The 15,561-nt window shown below is 42.9% G+C and overlaps 1 protein-coding gene and 1 pseudogene across 13 annotated transcripts in view; both read right to left on the minus strand.

Moving 5' to 3' along the window:
- ADRA1A (adrenoceptor alpha 1A) overlaps positions 1 to 15,561 on the minus strand; it is a 119,230-nt gene that overhangs the window by 78,955 nt on the left and 24,714 nt on the right. The window contains exon 3 of one of the 13 annotated variants that reach the window (XM_011544412.4): positions 10,984 to 11,297. The exons of the other annotated variants lie outside the window; for them this stretch is intronic. Coding sequence (XP_011542714.1) covers positions 11,254 to 11,297 — 44 coding nt within the window. The 3' untranslated portion in view covers positions 10,984 to 11,253. Of the gene's footprint in view, positions 1 to 10,983; positions 11,298 to 15,561 lie in introns of those variants that run through there. 13 annotated transcript variants of the gene reach the window in all.
- Positions 8,879 to 9,144, minus strand: COX6B1P4 (cytochrome c oxidase subunit 6B1 pseudogene 4; annotated as a pseudogene).

Below are 15,561 nucleotides of genomic sequence, written 5' to 3' on the forward strand. Positions count from 1 at the left end.
TGTGCTTAAAATAGTATCTGGCATGTTGTAAGCACTAAATAAAGGTTAACCTTTTTATTATTATGACAATACAACAATGATTCATATTTATGAAATACTTGCGTTTTTCTAAAAACTGCCACAAGATGATAACATAGCTATAATCATAATGTCTCATTGCAGCCAAAACTTGTTTATGGGAAATGTTGAGGTTGAATGGAAATGTTAAAGACAGATGTGGATTTAAATCTCAGCTTTGCCACTTGCCAGCTTAGTGACATGTGATACTTACTTAATTTCTCTGAGTGTCTTAGTCTGTTTGGGCTGCTATAACAAGATGTCCTAAACTAGCTGGCATATAAAAAACAGAAACATATTTCTGATAGTTCTAGATGCCAGGAAGTCCAAGATCCAGGTACCAGCAGTTGCGGTGTCTGGTGAGGTCCACTTTCTGGTTCATAGAAGGCTCCTTCTATCCGTGTCCTCACAAGGTGGAAGGGACAAGACAGCGCTCTGGGGTTTTTCTTTCTTTTCTTTCTTTTTTTTTTCTTTTTTAGCAACAAGAATGCTCAATTTATTTATTTTTTCTTAGCAACAGGAATGCCCAGTCTTGGGCTTTTTCCATAAAGACACGAATCCCAAACATCAGCGCTCTGCCCTTGTGACCTACTCACTTCCCAAAGGTCTCACTTCCTAGTACTATTACATTGGTGATTAGGTTTCAACATACAAATTTGGGGAGGGGTGGACACAAACATTCAGATCATAGCACTGAGACTCTGTCTTCTTACTTGTTTTTATTTTACTTTATTTTATTATTATTTTTTTGAGACAGGGTCTCACTCTTTCACCCAGGCTGGGGTGCAGTGGCGTGATCATGGCTCACTGCCCCCTCAACTTTCTGGGCTCCAGCAACCCTCCCACCTCAACCTCCTGAGTAGCTGGGACCACAGGCATGTGCCACCATGCCTGGATAATTTTTATATTTTTGGTAGAGACAGGGTTTTACCATGCTGCCCAGGCTGGTCTCAAACTCCTGAGCTCAAGCGATCTACCTACCTGGGCCTCCCAGGGTGCTAAGATTACAGGTATGAGCCACTGCACCTGGCCTTTCTTATTTGTAAAATCAGATAATAATACCACTTACTTCACAAGTATTAAGAAACTGTTCTTGGAGTGCTTGACACCAGTCTGCCTTTTCTTTTTTTTCTTTTGTCGAGAATAAAGATGACTGTCTAAACAAATACCTCCTACTCATCCATGGTTACGAAAGCTTCAAGTCCTCATTAGAGACAAACTTTGGTGTTAGGCTCAAGAATGCTAGCTCCCTTCCCTTTTCCCTATCCCTGTTAAAATAAAAAACACTACACACCTAGAAGGATAATACATGAGTCCTTCCTCAGTCATTAACACCTTAACCTAAATGTGCTTCTTGTCTCCAGAGAGCAAGCTCTATCAGCTGGGGAAAGAAGGGAGGGTTTAAGAATGTAGGGCAGAGGCACAGGTCTGTGATGCCGAGGACTGATTTTGTTTCTGTTAATTTTATTTTTCTGTGATACTGGCATTCGCATAATATGACAACATTTTCTGGATTTTAGAGGATCACATTCTCTGTCGAACTCTCCTTGATTAAATGAAGTCACAGGGTGAATATTTCAATTATTTCAAGCCTTTGTGGTCAGTGATCTAGTATTCAATTGACCTGAACACTGAAAACAATCATCATGCCTATGGCTATTTGCTAGGGACACGTGATAACCACATGCAGGAATTCTGGGTAAGAGCCCAGGACCTCATTCCAACCCTGCCTTTCCCAAATACCTGCCCTGTGAGCCAAATCGCTTAATCTTAGGATTCTTTTGTTTCTTCTTTATAATTTTAAAAAGCACAGTACCTGCTTTATAAGGTTTTATGCATGAGATGGTGCCCATCAAGTGTATAGTGGCTGGTGTGTGATAATTTTGTAAAAGCGTCACATGGCAGTACATCAGAGCCACATGACATACATGACTGCTGGGAGCTGGGAAACACACTAGGAGCAGTGGTGCCTTCCAGTTGTCACCAGAGCAGGCACTGAACCTCCACTCACAATGCTCGGGAGACTCACCTAATGCCAAAGCCAGGGTCTAGATAAATCCTGCTTGACACAAGACCATATAAAGAGAGAGAGAAATATAGGCTGACAAAAAGTGGCTACAAAGCAAGGCAAATTCAAGTGGCTACTGGTGGCGTGTATAAAACAGAACTGCCCTGGGAAAGGAACAATCAAAAAACAAGATGGTGCCTGGGGAACTTTCTCAAAAGTGAGGAAACAATAAGCTATGTGTGCTCCTTAAAGCAAAGATATGGCAAAGATCCCAATCCATCTCATATTTTTAATAAATATGTCATTCTAATAGAATTTTCCTTGGTACTTAAAATTAGATTATAAATTTTACCCTTAGGAAAAAATATAGTTAGGAAAAAGAAGGATGATTGAATGAATGACGAAAGGAAAAATAACAAGTGAATAGTCGGTAATATGATAATATGATAACATGCTTAATCACCTCTCAAAGAAATACAGCTCCAAGTTACATAATCCTGGATTCCACATCTGGAAACAAGGAGCACTCCCTGTATTTGGAGTTTATTATAAATATAGGCAGAAAGGCTGCAATGGAATTCAGAAGGACAACCCAGTAGAAAATTGAAACCTGGAAAAAAAAATCAGCAATTCCATAACACATCACTTATAGACAGCCCCACGCTGCCCCTGGTAAGTTTTTGCAGAAGAACATGAAAATCCTTAGCTAAGGTACAAACAAGCCAAGTAGAGGTCAACACATTTGGGAAATAGTGGCTCCACACTCCTAAATGTCAAGGGTGTGTGTCTGGGGGGTGGGGGTGGGTGGGGAAGGATTGTGGTATTTCAGGGAGAAGGAATGTCGGATGTTTGAAGACAGCACTAAGTGTATATTAGAGTGAGCACTGTCCTGGGCCTCTAATGGACTCCATTCTGAGATCTGTGTCAGAACTGTCAATAACCCAGCCTAGCCCAAAACTGTTAATGTATCACCTCCCACCCAGAGCTGACCCTGCTTCTCAGATTGCTTCCAGGCAGGTCCCCTGCAGAGAAAGCCGAAGGATGGGTAGACACACAGGACTGGTATTGGAAGAGATGCTTCATGGTTTATTTCTTCTGCACCTGCCCTCAAAGCTTGAAGGCAGCTCTTGAAACCCTTATTTCCAAGAAAGGGGAGGAACTTGGCTGTGGTATTATGATGCTCCCTAAGATCTTGCAGTCTGAAAGCTGGCTTGGAGCCTTGTTTTCTTCTGCCATCTCCAGAATCCCAAATGTACTAATCAAGACTCCCTTGTTCGTTCTAGGATAACACATGACTGGACCACAGGGAAATAAATGGCCATGAAAAGATGACACCCTGAAGCCAGACAATATTCTCCTAACAAAGAAAGGGGAAGAGTTAACAGAGGGTTAAACCAAAGACGGTTTGGCTAGAGAGACAGCATAGTTGAACCTTCTCATCAGTTGTGGCTGTAACAAGAATTTGCAAAGATGAAGGTTTATTTAAGGAATTAACCAAGAAATAAGCTGTTCTACCCACAGTCATCACAGCTGCCAAAACTCAAATTATTTTCTTACCCTGAGATGATCCTAGGGGAAAGCATGATTCAAGTTCTACCAGAGTGTCAACTACTCCCTCTGGGCTTGTGTTAACTCTTTTGGAATATTAAAATTGTTTCTGTAGCCTGCCAGAACAAAGCTGGGTTGTTGCAGTAGCCTCCCAGATGAGGTTAGGGTCATTGCGGGCGGGAGGGAGTCTTTCTCACCTTTTTTCTTTTTATCTTATATACACAAAGTTAAATGACTGGATGAAAGCCCCAGATACTGGTCTGTAGAAGTGTCTTTGTTCTCATGGATGCACTGTTACTTCCTGGACTTTGGGGGACTGAGGTCTTTTATAGTTAAAGAAATATACTTAGGAGATTGGCCTGGTTGGGGCTCTGCCATCACAGTCTCTGGAGCTGTAACCTAATCACATATCCTTGGCAGCAAAGGCAAGATCCCCTGCTGACTTGTCAAACTCTCATATGGATGTTAAGAAGATTAAGATAATAGCATGCCTAACATAGCTAATAAGAGAGATTTAAAACAATTGGCAGAAACAGATTGAGTTATGAAATGCTTATTATGGATGATTCTGTGTCACAAAAACAGCATATAGGGTCAGCTTAATTTCACACACAAGTAAGGGGAGAAGAGATGCCAATGATGACGAGGCAGAGAGAGAGAGAGAAGGAGAGAGAGAAAGAGAGAGAGCCTGCTATGCCATGGCCAGTGCTCAAGTGGGCAGACTGATACTGAGCTCTGCTGGGATTGCCCAGTACCAACCCCCTGCCCACACCCCACCACTGATCATGGCCAGTTTGGAAAGGGTGTAGAGGTCACGGAAGTGTCAGGTCACACCCAATGTCCTAGACACTGGAGGAGGTACATCTGTGTCCAAATATCCTAAATAGATTTTCCTAAATTTGAGAATAGTCACTTCAATCTTTCTTCTTTCCAGCCTGGGTAGATCAGCCACATGCCAATTGTCTTCTTGTTTTCTTTCCAGGACAAGAAGAACATAGTTTCACTCGCAGGGAATGAAGGACCCTTTTGGGCCTTGGGGGGAACACGCTGCATGCAGCTTCCTTTCCATCCTTGCATCTTCTTTGCTGTCTAGTGCTCCTTGTCATGGTCTCTGGGGCTGTCAGCAGCCACCGCCCCTGCGCTGTGGGCTCCCTGCCCTGTGGAGTCCTGTGCTCCAGGCTGGCTCCCACCTCTCCCTAAGAGACACCTGGGCCTGGCCGTGTGGTTTGTAGGCTGGAGTGGGGACAGAGGCCTGCTGGTCTCACCCCACATTTCTCATCCATTTAGAGGAAGGAGCCATCTGAGAATCCAGGGACGCTCCTCTGGCCCACCAGCCTTCTCTTCCCCCTCCCAATCTCCCCTTCCTTTCACAAGGGAAGGGAGGAGATTCGGTTTGCAGCGAGAAATGTTGAAGTTGGGAACGAAGTCTTTGGAGTGGATTAGCCCTTTGATCTTCAGGTGGGATCTCCAGGTGGGACGCTCATGGTGAGAACAAGCAGCAGGCTGCTCTCCTGCCTTGCTGGTGAAACCCTGTCCCAGACGCCTGAGAAAGTGACCTGGCAACATCGTTAAAATTGCAAGCACGCATTCCCTTTAAACCAGAAATCCCCCTCTTAGGAATCTCTCCCATAGAAGTAAAAGCATCTAGGTATAAAGGGACCTCTGTAAACAATGTGCACTCTTTGCGGAGGCAAAAGTCTGGAAACTAGATAAGTATCCTTGATAGAGGAAAGGAGGAATACAATAGACTACAGACACCGTTCAGAGAAAACTTAATGAAAACACTGGCAGACACAAATCAGGTTGTGGACATGTGTTTTCTTGGGAGAAATTAAGGAAGCTGAAGATGGTGTATGGCACAAGAGATGAAGAGGGGTTAGTCGCTCCCAACAAACAAAAAAGAAAAGAAAATGAGAAAAATGATGACACTTTAACAGTTCAAGCAGATTGTCTAGGGCAGGGAAGTAGACTGAGAAACAGGCTCTGGGAAGTAGACTCTGAGACGGAGGTTTGCCTGCAGGAGGATGTGCCCTCCTTGTCACACCTGTGGGGGAGGGAGGCAAGCAGGATGGGGTGGAAGGAGAAGCTGGGCTGCCATGCAGTCAGGACAAAAGCCTCAGCCCATCCCGGGGAAGGCAGCATTGCTCTGGACAGCTGCCCAGTCATTGGATGTTGGCTGCCTGCAGGAAGAAGGAGACTCTCATTTGCAGTGGGCAGCCACCAGGAGTGAGACACAGTTGGGAGCTGCCAGGCATTGGCCCTCCCAGCACCATAGGGAAGGGACACAGAAGGCACACTGCAGCGCCCATTGCACGGGTGCACGATCACATGTATGTATATTAGTAAAGTTATAGATATACGTGTGTGTGGAAATCGATAAAGGATGAGAGTAGGCAGAAGAAAAGAGGGTCTCTGATTCTCAGAGTATAAAATTTATTTCTAACACTGGTGAGTCTGAAGCCTCACTGGACCCCATTCCAGTGGGAAACAGACAAGACTCTCAGCCTGGGCAGTTACAGCAGTGACACTGGCCGGATGATTTCCCTTGACCTCGCCACATGGAAGCCATGCAACCCAGCCCCCCATCGTCTTAGCTCCTGAGAACTCTGACTGCCTTCTATTTTTGAATGGGTTGGGAATAGAACCAAGAGATAAATTTTGTCTCCCTTTTGCTTGTCAGGGTTGGGTACCTTGAATATGGGTTCAAACTGGAACCAAAAATAAAATTCAAAGTAAACACCTCAGAAGGACACCCAGCTATCTCCATGGCAGAACTTTGCATAGGGTGCTGGAAAATTCAGGCAACTGCTCTGACCCAGCACAAACTAAGAAGCTCAGCAATGACTCAGTCACTCCTCTTGAGAGCAATTAAGCTGCTGTAAAACATGTAGGAACCTGATAAGTAGACATACAATCAGTCCCTAAATCCCACCTTCTCCTAGCACCATATTGCTAAGGCAAAGCAGAGACAATTCATTCGGCTTGCATATTTTCCTCAAGACTGTCTTTCATACTTCTCTGAATGAGATTTTGTTTCTATCAGCAAGTGTTTAAGAAACTATGGAGAGGAAGAGGAAGCTGGCATATGGCTTCAAAATAACTTATTTCTGTTGACATGAAAAGAAAGCCTTTTATATTTCAATAGGATATCTTCATGTATTTAGCATTGTTCTGGAAATAATAGTTAATGCAATGAGCCAAGGAAAAGGTGAGTTATATGTATTGAGAAGGAGGAGGAGCAGAGTTAGTAAACATTGATAATTTTTGTATGTCTGGATAACTCAAAAGTTATTAGCTGGAAAAAGTTATTAGTAGTATGTAATAAGAAAGCAGGAAGGTAGCTGGGTAAAGGTTAAATATATTAAAATCTATAGCTTTCTTATATGCCAGCATTAATTGTAATTAGAATGTAAATATTCTACTCACAGTAGCAACAAAACTATAAAATACCAAGGGATACATTTAATAAGCAATGTATACAATAAACAATAGAGAAAGCTACAAAGATGAACTGACTTGAAAGAAGTAATACATTCTGGGATCGAAGTCTTTAGGTTGTGAAGATATCAGTTTTATCCATTCTGATTTATAAATTAACAGCATTTCAACAAAGAGTTTACTTAGAACTAGACAAAATAATTCTAAATTTTACCTGGAAGAATAATTATAGGTGAAAAACTAAAATGAGATGGGTGGAAAGGGGGAGCTTTTCCTATTTGATATTAGGATGTGTTTTTAAGTTGCATTCATCTACAGATAGGAAGACCAAAACACAAATCAGGACATCTGCTGATTATTCAGCCATTTCTGATGTTTCCAGACATGGAAATTAACATTCTCTCTTTCCTCAGTTGACCATAGATTCTCATGAGTGTTATTTAGCCTTGTAGAGCACAGCAATCTCCACGTAGATCCCACCAGCCCAGAAGAGCCATCAGCCCCTGCAGTCAGATAGTTCTTCACTTTGGACCTGTATTCCTCTGACAATACTGAGTGCATCTCCAAGGGCAGAGTATCAAAGCATGTCCTCTGGCTGGGTCTACAGGACACCAACATCTGGCAGAGAACTGACCCATCCAGTTGGAACTCTGGACTTTTTCCACTTCCACCTTTTGCTGGATAGGTAAAACATACAGACTTCTATTTTAATTCTTCACTTGTTTCCTGGGATTTTTGATGCCACATATACCAAGCTCTCAAATCATCGTGTAAAGGGCCAGTTTTTCTCAAATCCATTGTGCACCATGATGTTTTTTAAGTGTATGAAAAATAAATCATAAACAATGAAATTAAAAAGAAAGCCAATGTCAAGCAAATACAAGCCCCTATTTTTATTACTACATTTCATAGAAATCAAGTTACTCTGTCATGTTGCCGTATATGTCCTTAAACACTTATTTTCTTTGGTGGCCTGACCCTTATCAACTGACTGCACCATTATATAACTCATCACAAGGGAACTGGCTACTACTTTAGCTAGCAATTCTTTATGCCTTGTGATCTAAGTAACAAGACAATCTTACATTTTTATAACACTTAACTTTTTGTAGTGTGCAAATTCTTTTCCTCTCCAACAACACTATTTTGAGGTAGTTGGGGCAGTTTTTACAAACCCAATTTCTCACATAGTGTATTAGTCTGTTCTCAAACTGCTAGAAGGACATACCCAAGACTGGGTAATTTATAAAGGAAAGAGGTTTAATTGACTCATAGTTCCGTAGAGCTGGGGAGGCCTCAGGAAACTTACAGTTATGCTGAAAGGGGAAGCAAACACATCCTTCTTCACAGCGCAGCAGGAGAGAGAAGAATGAGGGCCAAGCGAAGGGAGAAGCCCCTTATAAAACCATCAGATCTTGTGAGAACTTACTATCACGAGAATAGCATGGGGGAAACTGCCCCCACGATTCAATTACCTTCCACTTGTCCCTCCCACGACACATGGGAATTATGGGAACTACAATTCAAGGTGAGATTTGGGTGGGGATATACTCAAACTATGTCAGGTAGGAAATGCAATTCCTCATAGAGATATTCAGTGACATGGTCAAAGGGGTTACTGACAAAGCTGGAATGCACCCTGGAATGCCCTCCCTGATTCATTATTTTTTGTTATTTCCACTTCTTTCCCCCTGCTTTTCCAAAGCATTTTTATTCATAGTTAAGTCATGATTCAGGGCCCCAGGGTGAGGATCACCATGTACCCAGGTTTCCCTTTGCCTGGGAGAAGGATGAAGGACATAGGAGGGGTAAGATGCAGCCAGTTCAGATCTTTCCAGGAAATGTGCCTTTAGCCCAGCTGTCATCCTAGACTGAAACCCAGGAGCAGGGCAGAAGAACTTGTACACACACTGGTATCATTCACACATAGAGACATCACACCCTTCAGCGGTTGTTGCCTTCTCACAGAGGTGGAAGTCCAGGAAGTTCTGCCAGCAGTTCCTAGTCTGGTTGGGGAAGCGTCTGTCAAAAGGGGCAGTCTTGTAGTTCTTGATTTTGGTCTTCATGTCTTTTGCCAAGGTGCTGACTTCTAAAGATGCTCATGATGCAGCTGGTAGCTCAGTGTGACCCTCAGCAAAGACATCAACTTTGGACCTCATTCCACTCTTTAATGAATCTGTTTATGTCTCAGTTAATGGAGCTACTGATGACTGACTCAGTGAGTCTAATCCCATGACCCTGACTGACAAAGCATTGTAAATGCTAATCCTGCAAAAGTCCCTTCTACTGTTATCTACACCGTGAAGAGAAAACCCACCAAACTGAACAATGATGATGTTCTTACACAGCAGCGCTGCATTAGGAAGAAAATTTCAAATAATCCATCACCTAGTGTGAATATTTCCACAAAACAGCAAATTTCACTAAAAACTCTCATTAAACACTTTAAGAAGAGACGTGTAGCGAGTTATTTAGGCTACATAAACCAAAACCAAAGTGATATTGTTGGTCTGGTAGTTCTTTCTTAAAACTGCAGGTAACACATATAAGAGCAAATAAGTAGCGTCTTATAGGCCAAGTTTACAAAAATAAACTACAAAGAGATGTGAGAAATTTTAAACAAAATCTCTGCTCATTGTTCAGAAGGAGATTCTCTTCTCTGTGCTCTTCAGGAGGGGCCAGCAGTGGTATTTGGGCTGAGTGGCAAGTGAAGGGGAGTGCTTAGGTCCCTTCAGACTGTGTGCCAGTGAATGCAGTTCCAAAGAGCTGAGAGAAGGGCAAACGACCAGCCCAGGAAGGCAGCATAGTACAGGGGAAAGCCCTTGGTTCCAGAATCCAAGGGTTTTGGTTTGAATCTCAGCTTTGCCACTTCCTAACTGGGTAATGGGCCCTCACCTCACTCTGCCTAATAGAACTGTGATTACTAAACAAAGGTAGATATACAATGGCTAGTATATAAGTGCTGAGAGATATTTGTCCTTGTCAATAGAAAAAAAAAAAGCATATAGAATTCACCTTCCTCTACCAGGCATGTGCCTGGACCTCTTCAGGCTTTTTAAAAAAGCTTTTTAAATTTATTTTTGTCTGACATTGATTATGTGGGATAAAATATCTCCAAGTGCGGTGCAGAGTCTATATGAAGAAGCACAGATAGGAAGAGAAGTAGTCACATTAAAGTCAAATTAAGAGTCCTATTAAAGTCTACAATAGCCAGGCTGGGCATGGCAACTCACACCGGTAATCCCAGCACTTTGGGAGGCTGAGGAGGGCAGATCACTTGAGGCCAGGAGTTTGAGACCAGCCCAGCCAACACAGTGAAACCCCATCTCTATTAAAAACACAAAAATTAGCCAGGTATGGTGGTGCATGCCTATAATCCTAGCTACTTGGGAGGCTGAGGCACAAGAATCGCTTGAGCCTGGGAGGTGGAAGTTGCAGTGAGCCAAGATGGCACCATTGCACTCCAGCCTGGGTGACAGAGAGAGACTCTGTCTCAAAAAAAAAAAAAAAGTGTACAGTAGCCATTGGGCTAGATAGCCTGAGGCCTAACCGGTGCCCACAGTGGGGATGTGTTATAGCACAAGGAAAAAAGCTTTGCTTTATGAGAGAATTTTGCAAGGGCTATTCTGACACACACCTGAGTGAGCTGACATGTTTGGAGAAGGCTCAATGAGTAGAAGCTCAGTACCTCCCATGTATGCTCAGAATGTTCCCACTTTTACTGCCTTTGATTCCTATCTCAATACATTACTTTAGTCTCTACCAAAGTAATACGGAAGACAGAATTAGAATTGTCTTTTAGTGATTGTATGCAGTGCAATGTACAACCAGGACAATTGTGTTGTTTTTCCGGCTTGAGTTGCTCCAGTTGGCTGTCTATACCAATCACAAGACTTGTATTTCTCAGGACTGTGCAAAGTTAAGCCAAGTAGTTGAGTACAAACCAGGACAGGCGTTTAATGATACAGATGTTCTACAACATGTTTTCTTTTTTTCAGGCACCAGAAATCTATGTGGTTACTTTCTTTAGTTTATAAGACCACATGTAAGTACTTTGGACAATTGATGTATTTTTCCTTTTTACATTCAGATATTTAACAAAGCAAGGCACAGGTCTAGGCTCTGTATGAATCTATATCTGAAGAAGCCAAGTTGGAGCAGCTTACAAGCAGATCCCAGTCACTGACACCACCTTCCGAGGCTTAGTGATGAGTAGAAAATCCAGACCCTTCACCCCGCTGCTCATCTGAAATAGAGGACAATAACTGGAATCTCTATGCTCTCCAATAATGCAGGACTTGACTTTGAGTCTCTTCAATTTAATTGAACAAATATTTATTCAGGACTTACTACTGTGCTTAGGCCCTGAGGATTCCAAGCTGATAAGACTGATTCAGGTTAGGCCTATGGAATACAATTTAGAGCTTACAAGATGATCACCTAAGCCACTTTCATCATTCAGCTGGTGAAGAACTGAGCCCTGGAGAGAAGGAAGCTTCCCAATGGCACAAAGCAAGGGAGAACCAGGGTCATTCAAAAATTTGAAATGGTAAAAATGTAGATGCCATTACTATCAAAAAAGTGGTAGAAGATAAAGGTACTGTGTGCAAGTCCCTATTCTGTAGCTTTGGCCTTAGATGTGGATCCATTCCTTACCTGGACACAGAGGAAAGGCCTCCCTCCTTAATGTCTGCATAGGGCCACCCCCTCAGGTAAACCACCAGTGTGTCCTCTAATGTGTCCCCTCAGCTCTGGAACCAGAGTTAAGGCCACCTGACCCTCACCATGTGACTAGCTCTATCCTGGACAAGTCAGATATTAAACCCAGTATAATGAAAACCAGGTCTTTACATTAGAGATTTTTATTTCAATAGATATCAAGATAGACTTGCAAGCAAATTTGTGTATTTAAAGCATATGATATAATGATGGACTATGCATGCTAATTATTAGAAAGTAATAAGGGTGCTAGTTAAGTGGTGCTTCACTTCTCTGTGAAGAATTTTTTTTTTTTTTTTTTTTGAGATGGAGCCTCGATCTACGCCCAGGCTGGAGTGCAGTGGTGCAATCTTGGCTCACTGCAACCTCCGCCTCCCGGGTTCAAGTGATTCTCCTGCCTCAGCCTCCTAAGTAGCTGGGACTACAGGCTCCTGCCACAACGCCCAGCTCATTTTTTGTGTCTTTAGTAGAGACGGGGTTTCACTGTGTTAGCCAGGATGGTCTCGATCTCCTGACCTTGTGATCCACCTGCCTCGGCCCCCCAAAGTGCTGGGATTACAGGCGTGAGCCACCATGCCCGGCCTGAAGAAGTTTTTTGACTTCCTAAACTTCAAACTGGAAAACCAGCCTCCTCTGACTGTACCTGTACAATGATTTTGGTCCTTTATTGGGCTTAATTACATGCTAGTCTCCACCTTGAAGTCAGGGTCTGTTCCTGTCTGGCGCCTGGTAGACTCTCAATGTTTCTTGAATAAAGTAAATAAAAGATATTTTGAGATCTTAGTCCACTCTGGGGTGGCTTCCCAGAAGAGAAAAGCTGGGATTTATTTTAAGAAATGGAAGTAATTTGGCGGAAGGAGGCATATTTCTTCCTTAGTGCCCTCACCAAGCCTAGAAAATAGGAGCAGGTCTTGGGGTGGGATGGTGGGAAGGGTGTGTGGGGAGGAAAGGCACAAACTATGTGATTCCCCTATGGCTAGAGAGAAGCTCTCGGAGGCAGGCTAACTCTGCCAAGGTCAAGGAGCAAACAGGAATGGAAGCCTTGACCCTCGGTCCAGCCTCACACCACATGTTCTCTATAGGAGACACCTTTGTACGGAGCTTTGCACTGACCTTGAGAAATAATTTCCATCTGGAATTCTGGGTGAATCACAGGAAGGCAATCTGCAATTTCTCAAGTTTGCACTTGGCTGGGGTTGTTGAATCTATGTTGTAACCCTTATGAAACACTATTGCTCAAGAACATTCGAATGGATGCAACATTTGTAAATTAAAAGCCTGCTGCTTTAATTCCCTTCCAATGGACACAGTTAGACATATACAGAAGTCACAACTGGATGCAGCTGGAGGTTTGACTTTGAGAGGATGGGAGACTGGAAATCCCTGGGCATTTGGTCAGCACAGTAGCAGAGTGCTGGGGTTTGGGAAAGTAGCGGTTGGGTAGGAGAAGGTGTTGCATGCAATATTTTTCTTTCTGGTATTTGTCCCGGGAGATCCATATTGACACCTGAACTTTGTGACACAGTCGAGCCCTGCTCCACTGGCTTCTATACAAACAACATGATGCAAACCAGCTGGGGCCAAAGCAGTTACCATGGAAACCCTAGACTTTGGTTTGGAAAGTAAAAGTAAAAGACATTTATGATGACCACAGCAGTGGTTTGTACCAATGCACTTCTTGGGAAGTTTCTTTTTTATCCTGAACTTTAGCGTTCTTTTTTTTTTTTTCTTGCCCTGTGGAATTTGGCAAAAGAAAAATTTAAAATCAGATTGGAATTATTACCTTCCCCATTAAATAGCTAAAACAGGAAGTCTTGATTTATTCAAACCATATTTGCTAAAGACAAATTTAACTCTAAATGGAGAAACCGCTTAAAGGTCAAGTTTTGTCTTGGATACTTTGAAAGAGTTGCTAAGCATTTTTGTCCCCTATGGAGGCTGGGTTGACACCAGGAAGTGTTATTTGTGTTATTTCCCCTCAAACATTTTTCCACCTCTCAGTAATGACAGGAGAATTATGGCTATAGAGAGCAAACACAGCCTTATGTGGGCATGATCACAGTTGTAGCAAGCCAGTCATGATAGCAGGAATAGGCTGGTTGCATGAGTGCACTGGGTGAAGACTACAGAGGACATTAAGGGCACCAGAGGGAACAGGTTCAATTTCTACTCTGTCACTTACTTGCTGCATGATCCTGGGCCAGTTACTTAACCACCCTCTACCACAGTTTCCTCAGGTTGGAAATGAGAATCAAAATGCCCAACTGCCCCCAAATGTTCACATGGATTCAATGAAATAAAGCACATAAAGCATAAACTGAAATCCAAATGGAAAGCAATCACAAAAAGAATCCAGTGGAAGGGAAGTGGGAAGTAGCAGGCAGATCACGCTGACAGGTTGGCTTCAAGTGACCGTTCCAATCTCAGAGGACCACAGTCTCAAGGCCACCTACAGTTTCCTTTACCACCCACTGTCTGAGCCACCAAAGCCTACCCCACCCTTGCACCTCCTTTCTTACTCCCTTCTAACTGTGAAGGCATCGGGCTTTCCCAGATATCCTTTGCATTCAAATCCTCTCAACCACTGCCTGCAGATTCCCCTCCTTCTGTACTCATTTTTCTTTTCTTGGAAAAAAACAAAAACAAAATTGGACCCTTGGTGGAGCCCTTGATGGCGACAGCACAATCTTTCATCCCTTTGCTTTGTCCTCTCAGGTCCTGGCTCTGTTCCTCACCTCCACTTTTATTTCCACATCCTCCATGACAAGCCTCCTGTCCCTAACATTCAGCTGAAACTGTTCCTAGATCCCAAACTCCTACCCTAGCACAAGAGAAAGCTGGTGGCATTCCTATTTAGTGACATCTCTTCCCAACTCTGCATCAGCTTTGATAGGTCACAAATGACCTCAGATTACTAAACGCTATTTTTTTTCTCCTTTTCTTTCCCCTTGACTTCTCTGCTGCATTTGATATTGGCGCCACTTTCTCTTCACTAAAATTCTCTCTTCTTTTTGTTGCCAGGATTTTATGCTGTGGTGAGTCTCCCACTTTTCCAAAACGTTGTGCAAGTTCTGCTTGTTTTTTCTTCTGCCTACTGATGCCAACATATTCTAACATTCAGCCCTCCTTAGGAGATGACCCATTCCCTTAGCTTTGCTATTTTCTATTCCCATGACTCTCATCTCAAGAGCTCTTCTTCACCAAATGCCAATTATTTCTGCTGATCTCTAGGTCAACCCTGTCCAACAGAACATTCTGAGAGGATGGAAATGTTCTCTGCCTGGGCTGTTGAATGCAGTGGACATTAGCCATATGGAGCTATGGAGTACTTGAAATGCAGTTAGCCTGACTGCAAAACTGAATTTTTAATTTTATCTAATTTCAATTTCAATTTAATTTATTACATGTGGCTAGAGGCTACCATATTGGACAGCATAGTTCCAGATAGTTTCACTTAAACACCATCATTTCAGGCAAAATATGATCAATACTAAAGGTTTTCTGGAACCAACTCCTCTCCCAGCCTCTCTGTCTATGGACAACTAATCCCTACTGCATGCAAAGCTCAAAAGCCTCTTTTATTAATTCCACTCTGATTCCTCAGACGCAGTCTCTGATTCCCATTGACCTGCCTTGAAATATCCCTGTTCTCTCCCCGACCTTCTGTATTTTACTGCCACACCCCTGAGCAGGTCCTCATTCAAACCTAAACAGCCAGCCTGAATCTCTCACTTCAACACACCTTGCGATCACTGCAGACCGGATCTTATTCTAACACTGCTCTGCAATGT

Source organism: Homo sapiens, chromosome 8 (genome assembly GCF_000001405.40).
Source record: "Homo sapiens chromosome 8, GRCh38.p14 Primary Assembly".
Lineage (NCBI taxonomy): Eukaryota > Metazoa > Chordata > Mammalia > Primates > Hominidae > Homo > Homo sapiens.